Source organism: Homo sapiens, chromosome 2 (genome assembly GCF_000001405.40).
Source record: "Homo sapiens chromosome 2, GRCh38.p14 Primary Assembly".
Classification (NCBI taxonomy): domain Eukaryota; kingdom Metazoa; phylum Chordata; class Mammalia; order Primates; family Hominidae; genus Homo; species Homo sapiens.
This window is the reverse complement of record NC_000002.12, coordinates 24,453,480-24,464,072: the sequence shown is the minus strand read 5'-3', so window position 1 is coordinate 24,464,072 and position 10,593 is coordinate 24,453,480. Positions and strand designations below refer to the sequence as shown.

The 10,593-nt window shown below is 43.2% G+C and overlaps 1 long non-coding RNA gene across 1 annotated transcript in view, besides 2 other annotated features; it reads right to left on the bottom strand.

Annotated features, from left to right (window-relative positions):
• Positions 1-918: 918 nt before the first annotated feature.
• Positions 919-10,593, bottom strand: part of LOC105374329 (uncharacterized) — a 59,127-nt gene continuing 49,452 nt past the window's right edge. The window contains exon 3 of the long non-coding RNA XR_001739340.3: positions 919-999. This is a non-coding gene — a long non-coding RNA (uncharacterized LOC105374329). The remainder of the gene's footprint in view (positions 1,000-10,593) is intronic.
• Positions 5,958-6,315: a transcriptional cis regulatory region, noted in NCBI's record as "candidate enhancer chr2.904 targeted for multiplex CRISPR interference". NCBI's record gives its function as "positively regulates NCOA1 gene expression in K562 cells {active_cell/tissue: K562}" and the evidence as "EXISTENCE:mutant phenotype evidence [ECO:0000015][PMID:30612741]".
• Positions 6,517-7,114: an enhancer, noted in NCBI's record as "NANOG hESC enhancer chr2:24679828-24680425 (GRCh37/hg19 assembly coordinates)". NCBI's record gives its function as "activates a minimal SCP1, AML or CMV promoter by ChIP-STARR-seq in naive H9 embryonic stem cells {active_cell/tissue: H9 hESC(naive)}" and the evidence as "EXISTENCE:reporter gene assay evidence [ECO:0000049][PMID:30033119]".

Genomic DNA, 10,593 nt, shown 5'->3' with positions numbered 1-10,593 from the left:
TGGGAGAAAGCAATACCTAGGAATGAAGTGGTGAAAGGTCTTCAAAAACAAAAAAAAAAACAAGCACACCTTAAAACAAGAAGGAGGTAAAGTAGGTTTTTTTAAAAAGCATTAAAGACTATAAGGGAAGAATGGAAGAGAAAAGCAAGAAAAGGCTCAGAAGAGGCAAGACAATGGAATGAATATCTTATTAGATTAGCTCAAGTCTGGAAAAATAAGGTAGGCCTAAGAAGAATATCCAGGATGCCTTTAACGGAAAGAATAGATTGAAAGACAGAGCCAAGATACTGCCTGAACTTTCCTCCTGGACCGGCAAGTACACAGGGAACCATACTTGCTTTAGGGATCTGAGAGCCAGGAGTGGCCTCAGAGATGAGGCACAACTGGCTCATGGGTTGTAATTGATGGAGCCAAGGGAAAGATAGCACCCATGGGCAAAGCTGGGTGCATGCCACACAGAGAGTCCCACTGAAGTGTCAGGCCAAAGGATCTGGGAAACATGGCAGAAATAACCAGGTGCTGGGCAGTGGAACAGGAACTGGAGCTCCCAGGACAGGACAAGCAATTTCGAATGACAGGTGGGAGGCAGAGCCTTAGGATTTCCCAGGGCACTGGAGTATCATCACAGAGGAATTTTATGGGGCTGTTTAGGGAGCTAAGCTGGTTTTACATAAATGTAATGGAGCCAAGCTCTTAACCTCAGCAAGAAATAATAGCCATGACAACAAGAACAACAACAGCAATAATAGTAGCTACTCTATACCCACTGTGGCCCCTGGTTTGAATCTTGGTTCCATCATTCACTGGTGGCAAAATGGGTCTATTTAACAAGCTTTTGGACCTCTCCCAGCTTCAATTTTCTCCCTTTTAAAACGCAGGTTATGAGAAGGACTGTCTTCCTGGATGATTACCTCCATTCCTATGGCGTTAAGAATCTATGTGTCGGCAACTCCCAAATTCGTTTCTCCAATTCGAACCTCTCCTCTGAGTTTCAGACTCCTGCATCCAAACACAACTCAAATTTACAATGGCAAAATGACATTTTTTAGATTCTCTTGACCCTGGCCTTCCTCTCCATAAATGGCACCATCGGTTGCTCAACTTGACGTCCTTGAGTCCTCCTTCTCCTCGACTCCCAACATCCAATCCAATGAACCCTAAAATAAAATCCAAAATCCTTTCCATGGCCATGGCCAATTCTACTGAAGTCCATCTATTCTTGCTCTAGAATGAAGCTGAGACGGCCATAAAAATCCAGGAGACCCTCATAATGGTCTCTGTCTCTTCTGCATTTCTCCTGATCACTTTCTCTTCTCTGCTCCCAACTGCTGCTTCTCATCATTGTCTTTCCAGGTTTTCTTTTCTTTTCTTTTTTTAAATTTTTTTTAGAGATGAGGTCTCGCTCTGTCACTCAAGCTGGAGTGTGGAGGAGCACTCTGTCATGGCTATCATGGCTCACAGCAGCCTCAACCTCCGGGGCTCAAGGTGATGCTCCCGCCTCAGCTTCCCGAGCTGGGACCACAGGCACACACCACCACACACAGCTAAATTTTTGTATTTTTAGTAGAGACAAGGTTTCGCCATGTTGTGCAGGCTGGTCTTGAACTCCTGAGCTCAAGCCATCTGCCCACCTTGGCTTCCCAAAGCCCTGGGATTGCAGGCGTGGGCCACCACGTCCGGCCCTTTCCAGGTTTTCTAAGCCCTGTTTGGTTTTGGTTTTTCTCAGTTCTCTAAAGACTTCCTGGCATTTTGTAGCCGTTTGGGATGTGCATCACTGGTTCCAACCTCAGTCCTCCTCCTCAGAAAAGGTTCTTTTATGTTCCCACCAACCCCAATACCCAACGACATTGGGTAAGAAACTCTTTCGAATTCACTTAAGCTTTAGTAAAATGTAGTCGTGCGCAGAACTGTGTAAGGTGAATCAAAGTCGGTGAGCAGAGAAAACCAAGCACTTTAGAGACAGCGTGTGTTGGAGAAACATTCAAACCAAAAGGCATGGCTTTTTATGGAAAAGTGTTCCCCTTTTGAGCTGTGGCAGGTTGGAAGGATTTGAGATCAGGCTGCAGATGAGCCGGGAACCCTGGGGGCTGGGGTTCTGTGTACTCACTCTGCTCCTCTTTTGCAGCAGCTACCTCGCCCTGCTCTCTTCCCCTTCCTACTCACAGTAAAACCACAATCTGCAGCCAGACAGTTGGGTTATCAGCCAGCAGTGCATTTCTATGCAGTAGGGCTGTCCATAAACAGTAGAATGATAAAGAATTCATCCTCAAGCATTTTTACTCTGATCCATCTAATTTGAGGCTCATATCTAAACCAAGAATATTCAGGAGGCTGAAAAGCATTGTATGTGATAAGGATGATCTGTATTGGGGAGAACAGGGAGTGGGGATGGATGCCTAAGATTGTTAGAGCAGGTTAAGAAAAACATGCTTTTCCTTCCTTCCTTGAAGACGGAATAAGATATCAGTTTAGGAAGCTGTCTTTCATGGAGGATAATGGCTAAAACCTCATTTCAAATGCAGCTTCCACGTAGAAATCCTCGCATGCCTGCTCTTTGTCTAAGCCCTCTAGGGTAGCTGGGCCCTGTGCGTTTTGCTTATTTTAGTATCCCCACAAACTAACACAGTGAAGGCACTTAGTAGACACTCATTAAATACTTGTTATTTAAATGTAACCTCTCTGGCACCCCAATGCCCTAACTTCTTCCTGCCTTTTGCATTTTATAATTAAAAAAAAAAACTATTTCAATCCTTAGAACTTGAGTTGCCCACTCAAAATAACGTGGGCAGCCTGGCAAGACAGGGGCACAGAGGTCTCAAATGAGGTGCACAGGATACCAGAACTGTCTACCATTCTTCAGACTCAAGTTCTATTCCATACCCATGCCGCTAAAGGAAGAATGCTGGAGAAGGCATTGCTTTCCCATCCTATAGAGGAAACTGAGGCTCAGGCAGAATGAGTAACTTGCTCAGATTCTCTCAGTTTGGAGTGTCAGGTCCAGAAGTCTCAGAGTTTTGGAAGGAGCCTGAGCTGACCACAGTTCAGATCAGGGCTCTCCTACTTATCTGCCACTTAGAAATAACGTGGGCAATATTTGCAATTTCTGTGGGCCTACCTCTGTAACAAGGAATAATGATAGGATTATTCTATCCTGAGCGATGAATTAAAATGGGATGATACTTGGGCCAATCACAGTGACTCACACCTGTAATCCCAGCATTTTGGGAGGCTGAGGTGGGTGGATAGCTTGAGTCCAGGAGTTCAGAAACAACCTAGGCAACATGGCAAAAACCCGTCTCTACAAAATATACAAAAAATTAAGGCCAGGAGCTGTGGCTCACACCTGTAATTCCAGCACCTTGGGAGGCCGAGACGAATGGATCACCTGAGGTCAGGAGTTTGAGACCAGCCTAGCCAACATGGCGAAACCCTGTCTCTACTAAAAATACAAACAAAATTAGCTGGGGGTGGTGGCGCACGCCCTGTAGTCCCAGCTACTCGGGAGGCTGAGGCACGAGAATTGCTTGAACCTGTGAGGTAGAGGTTGCAGTGAGCCAAGATTGCACCGCTGCACTCCAGCCTGGGCAATAGAGTGAGACTCTGTCTCAAAAAAAAAAAAAAAAAAAAAAATTAGCTGGGCATGGTGGCACATGCCTGTAGTTCCAGCTAGTCAGAAGGCTGAGGTGGGAGGGTCGCTTGAGCCCAGGAGTTCGAGGCTGCAGTCAGCTATGATGGCACCACTGCGCTCCAGCAGAGTGAGACCCTGTCTCAAAATAAATAAATAAATAAAAATAAAAAAGTGATACAGGAAAGTGTGTGCAAATTAGATAAGCACAAACAATAGTTTCCTTCTTCTACCCCGAGTGGAAACAGCAGATACAATTTTGTGAAGATAATAAAACTTTGTTGATTATTAAAAAAAATCAATCTGAAAATAAAGATTCCATGCATAATAAACAGTATTTATAGAACTCTAATTAAAAGGGCATTTTGACAATGTTAATTCTTGTGTCTGGCATATCTATTATCTGGTACACACATGCATGCGTGTGCACACACACACCTTTCCTTCCTCATTAACCAGTTTGAACAGTCAGCCTGCAGGCGGGAGCAGACAGGGACCCAGGAAGCCAGGGTGAAGAAGCTCCTAAATCAGATGGCTTCTGAGACAGTTTTCCCCTTCCCTCAGGCTGAGATATTCTGCCATCTGTTTTGATTAAACCTTTCAAAATTCAACTTGTGTTTTTCCTTCCATTCCTTTGAAATCTCCTTTAATTCAACAGTCTTTAGGCTTTCTTCTTTCCCTTAACCACCATCTGGTGCTTCTATTTAAAAAAAAGAAAGAAAGAAAGAAAAGAAAACACATACAACAAACACTTTGAGTTCCTTGGAAGAAAGGTATAATGATGAGGATAATTTATTCCCATAGTGAGGCCCATTACTATTTCCATGGCAACAGACTGTGATGTTCTGAACATGGGACTTTGTGATCATCACAAGAACAGAATGGCAAAAGGCCCTGTTCAGACTCTTTGTCCTTATGGATTCTTTGGGTAATCACCCTTGGTGGCTCCCAGTTGCCTACAGAATTAAATGCAAAGGCCTCAGGGTGGCATTCAAGGCCCTTCTAAATCTGGTCCAGTCATGCCAGGCTCGCCGTCTGCCAATCCCAGGGCACATGGTCCTCTGGCATTCTCTACAGCTCACTGCGCCCTGGACATATCACAAGCTCTCACACCTCCATTCCTTTGCCTCCACTGTGGCCTCTCCTTAAAATGCCCTTCCTCAACTTCCCTATTTGTTTTTCTTTTTTTAACCTAATGAAACCCTCCTCATTTGAGCTTAGCTCAAATGTCACTTTCTCTGTGGGCTCTTCCATGGCTCACCCAGGCAACAGCAATAACTCTTTTCTGTGCTGCAGGCATTTTGCTCAAACAAGTATAATGACGCCTAACATTTTGTATCATAGTTATGCTCATATCTCCTTCATTCAAATTTGGATTATTTGCTCTCAATATCCATGCCTATTTCATTTTTGTCAAACACCTCGATTACTTCACATGATTTCTTAAAACATCCTTGGGGGTAGGTGGTCAGGCTTTGAATCTCCATTTTACTGTTACAGCCCCAAAGTTTTAAAAATGTCAGAGATGGGGCCGGGCGCGGTGGCTCACACCTGTAATCCCACCACTTTGGGAGGCTGAGGGGGGCAGATCACTTGAGGTCAGGAGTTCAAGACCAGCCTGGCCAACATGGTGAGACCCCGTCTCTACTAATCCAAAAATTAGCTGGGCGTGGTGGCACGTGCCTGTAATCCCAGCTACTTGGGAGGCTGAAGCAGGAGAATCTCTTGAACCCAGGAGGTGGAGGTTGCAGTAAGCCGAGATCACACCACTGCACTCCAGCCTGGGCCACAGAGCAAGACTCTGTCTCAAAAAATAAAAAAATAAAAAAAGTCACAGATGGGTAGTAAGTGACAGAGCCAGAATTCCATGATAGAACGAAAAGAATGCGGACTTTAGAGTCAGGCATTTGGGGGCTCAACTTACGTTAACTCTCTAATCTTCTATTTTTTTCATCTGCAAAATTAAGATTAAACAAAATCATATGTGTAAAGGTGCTTGGCACATCATAATATTCAAATAATATTAGTTTTCTTCTTCTTTTCCCTCAACATCTACTTTCTAGCACCATCTAGAAACATGACATTTTTTATTCCATTTTTGTTTCCCAAATTTTTATATGATGCTGAAACTCAGATGAACAAGCAAACAGATGTCTTCTGCATCTTCCAGAGAAAAGTTTTGCCTTAATTCTCTTATCTGTAATCAAGTTTAAAAGAGAAGCTACCCGACAGAGTTGTAAAACTTAAATGAAGCAACATGTGAATGCATGGAGCTCTTAGCACAGTGTTTGGCATATAGGAAGCACTCGGGATGTTTGCAATTACATTATTACCATTATCATCCTCATCATCATCATGATTATGACCATTATTTTTTGTGTGACAGAACAATAGACCCAGTGAGAATTACAAAAATTAATGAGACAGTCTCACAACTCTGTCTTCAGGCTTCTTGTTCCACAGCTTGACCCTGGACTACAGGCATCCGTGCGGTCATTGCAGGCTTTAGATTGCAGGCTTTAGATAGGGCTTCTGAGCCTTATCTTGTAATTCTTTCTGTTGGGTGGACCTAAAACAAAACCTTGCAGAGGAGAAGCTTTCAGTAAAATTTGGTCAAAAGAATGTTGGATGGTATTTCTCCAAAAATGAGCACAAATACTGAAATAAGCCTCAAAAGCCTCTGGTTCCTCATCACCAAGATACTAATATTCACCAGTGGCGTATTGGCTAGGAGAGTCATTTTCATGAACACTGTGCATGTCTGTAGATTATTGAACAGTGCTTTTGAATACTTGAGATGTTTCCATGTGTAACTTTTCTGCATAAGCTTTCTCTATAGGACACAGAATATTCCCAGATGAGGAAACAGACTCTGCTCCTGATCTCCAGGGGATAGGCAACAGGGTCTTAAGAGACCGTGTCCTGGAAAACATGTCAACCAGGTGTCAAGCACAGCCTCAGCTGGGTGATCTAGTGGTGGCATCACTTAGACATTTATTCAGCAAGTATTTATGGAGTACCTCATTCATGTCAGGCCCAGAGTTGAGCTAAGTGAAAGCATGAAATCATCTTTAGCAATCTGTACCCCCCACCCCCACCAAACCAACCACCTAGTGAGAAAGGACATTATCACCTTCAGATTAGGGATGTGTGTCTCAGAGTTTAAGAGACTTGTCCCAGTAACACCCACTTAATGACAAAGAAAGGATTTACATTTAAACCAAAGTCTCTAAGACACCAGAGCTCACATATTCTGGTGCATTCCCAGCTCCCAAGATCACTTGCAGATTCCCCAAGATGCATCACTGATGATGACACCCCAGTGACAGGTGCTGGCCCACCTGTCCCCTTTCTTGCTGTCCATCATGTCAGAGTTAGGGTTGAGGTTGGATTTGCTGGTTTCACCTCTGGCCATCGCTTACATTATGGCCTCTGGTCTGTGCCTCCTTGGAATAGGCAGGGTCCACAACACTCAGGGTACGAAGGGTCACGGGGAGGGGGTTTGTGGTGTGTCCTTTAATACCTTCCTTTTTTCTTTTCCTTTTTATTTTTTGTTTTTTTGCTACAGCTAGGGGAGTGGGGGCACTGATTCTGACTCACTACACACTCTGAGAGTATCTGACTCATCCCAGCGCTGGTGTTCTTCCAGCTCTGCTCAGTACACCGAGGTGTCCTTCCCCAGCTGCCTGGGATCGGCCAGACCCGTTCAGATGCTCTTGGTTCAGCCCTAAATGACACCAAGGTTCATTAGTAAATTAGACACATACACAAGAATCAAAAACTCCCCAGCAACCAACAGGGCTTAGGCAAGTTTTGGACTGTGTTGAAGCCAAGATTAATGTGCAATACCATTAGAATTAATGAACTGCTTTGCATCCAAGCATATAGTTCACATTTACATTGGTCATATTGATAGTTAAAAGTTTATTTTTCAGTTTAAAAACTTACAAAAGTCAACTATAAATATGAACTATTGGTAGTTGAAAGTTAAAAGTTAACCATAATTTTTTAAAAAAGTTAACTATAAGTTAAAACAAAAGAGTTCTCTTTAACCAATATTTTAGACAGCTGTATAATAAAATATCCTTCTCTACTTTGAGAATTTGTAAGAGATCACATTTATCAAAAGTTAAGAAACAAGCCTTAATTTAGCTGCTTAAATAATTATCCTTTTGGCTGTTCCCATATAGTAAATTACAGGTGTTTCTTCAAGTACATGAAGGGCTCCAAGTTCATTTAATTGTTCCTGATTGCTATTTTTATCGCTATGCAATCATTCCATTTCAAAAAAGAATTTTGTATTTGGTAGAATTTTGGCATTAAACTGTCCTTTCTTCTCATGGTCCTGTTCTGCTTCAATCTCCAGCAGAGCTCTCCCCCATTAATTTATTGTCAAGAGTGTTTTGTCGGCCGGGCGCAGTAGCTCAAGCCTGTAATCCCAGCATTTTGGGAGTCCGAGTCGGGCGGATCACAAGGTCAGGAGATTGAGACCATCCTGGCTAACATGGTGAAACCTCATCTCTGCTAAAAATACAAAAAATTAGCCGGGCGTGGTGGTGGGCACCTGTAGTCCCAGCTACTCGGGAGGCTGAGGCAGGAGAATGGCGTGAACCCGGGAGGCAGAGCTTGCAGTGAGCCGAGATCGTGCCACTGCTCTCCAGCCTGGGCGACAGAGCAAGACTCCATCTCAAAAAAAAAAAAAAAGAGTGTTTTGTCCCATTCTCTGATAACTTTGCTTACTCTAATTGTAAAACTTTTATTTCCAGCAGTTATCATCTTCTAGGAGGCAGTCTTAATATGAGTATCAAAAATGCTCTCATCCTGGCCAGGCACAGTGGCTCACACCTGTAATCCCAGCACTTTGGAGGCTGAGGCAGACGGATCACTTGAGTTCAGGGGTACAAGACCAGCCTGGCCAACATGGTGAAACCCCCCCCCCCATCTCTACTAAAAATACAAAAATTAGCCAGGCAGCGTGGTATGCACCTATAATCCCAGCTACTCAGGAGGCTGAGGCATGAGAGTCACTTGAACCGGGAGGCAGAGGTTGCAATGAGCTGAGATCATGCCACTACACTCCAGCTTGGGCGACAAGAGCAGACTCTGTCTCAAAAAAAAAAAAAGGCTAGGTTTGGTGGCTCACACCTGTAATCCCAGCACTTTGGGAGGCCGAGGTGGGGGGATCATGAGGTCAGGAGTTCAAGACCAGCCTGGTCAACATGGTGAAACCCCATCTCTACTAAAAATACAAAAATTAGCCAGGCGTGGTGGCGCACGCCTGTAATCCCAGCTACTCAGGAGGCTGAGGCAGGAGAATGGCTTGAACCCGGGAGGCAGAGGTTGCAGTGAGCCAAGATTGCGCACTGCACCACTCCAGCCTGGGTGACAAGAGCAAGACTCTGTCTCAAAAAAAAAAAAAAAAGTCTCTCATCCTGTGGTGAGTATCCTGTATAACAGCAACGAACAACTTCCTTTCTAGGGAAAGCTGGCTTTCTCTCCATTTTTCAGAACAGATGTTTGTATTTTTTGATGAACCCTCATCCCAACTCTCTTCAGACTTCTTTTCTTTGGGTTTTGACACCATGCCTCTTGTTTTCTACCTGATCTGACACCCTAAACTTTGATTTTCGTACCCATGAAATGCTTATTTGCAAATATATGGTTATAGGCTGGAACTAGGTTTTTGTTACCTCCCTAGTCCACATCTTTAAAATGTTTCCTAGTAATGTGTGTTCTGCAAGAAATAAAACTGAGCTATGGTTCTGCAGAAACTTGATAATGTTCTCCCTGGAGGGCTCCTCATTCCTCAGCCTTCTGGGGACTGGCCACGCGATCTTCCCTCATGGGGTGGGCACTCAGCATGTACGTTTTAGACGTATTTGGAACCAGCAAGTTTGGTAGGACAAAGGATGTTTTAAGGATTTAAAGAGAAAAGGAGTCGCCTACATTGAACTCAATCTCGTGCCGAAATTCTTGCAGTCTCTGCCACTGACACCGCATGTGTTCTGGCTTTCGGCAGGATTGTTCTCCCCGGCTTTGCTCTGAAACGTAAAGCCCCATTGCCCACTGCAAGTTTTAATGAAAAGCAGCTCATAAGCAAGTTACGTAACCTAATTGTAATCCAGGGATCAGCTTGGTTATATTATTTAAAGAAATAGCATCCATTTTCCGTGACCTGATTTAGAAAAGAAACTTAGGGAGGAAAAAAAAAATACCCAGTTCAGCATTTGGCTTCCCGTGCTCATTCTAATGAGACTGTTGGTAAATAATTCAGAAACAATGACTTTTAAGAACATTAAACCCAACTTAGCTCAGGGTTCTATCTCAAAGCAGCTAAAGCTACTTAAAGCAAATTATAAATTATTATAAAATATGGAGCTTCTTATTGCAGAAAATTTGGTCATTTAAAAAGTTTATTTCCTCATCAATTCAACACATGCAGAATACTGACTAGATGCAAAATGGGGAATGCTAAAATGCATGGACTGTGCTCTCAGGAAGCCTGAAATCTGGTAGGGGTAATGATAATGTATCAACATTGGTTCATTAGTGGGAACAAATGTACTACAGTAATGCAAGGTGTTAACAGCAGGGGAAGTGGTGTTGGTGGGGGTTGTTACAGGAACTCTGTCCTATCTTTGCAACTTTTCTGTAAATCTAAAAGTATTCTAAAATTAAAAGTTTATTTTTAAAAACCTGGTTAGGGAAACAGTTGGGTACACAAATAGAAACACATCCATCCTTGTTGCCTGATTTATAGAAATAAAACCAGGCCTGCATAATAGGCAGCTTCCTAAGTGGTATGATTGTTTTATGAACTTCAGAAGCACAAAACTGGATTAATCACAGTTCTGATTCATATTAATAGTGTGTCATGAATCAAGGGCTATGACTGGCCCATTGGTTTTTAAATAAACCTCATTTCATTTATTTTCGTTGTATGTGTTATAATAATACAAGAAACCACT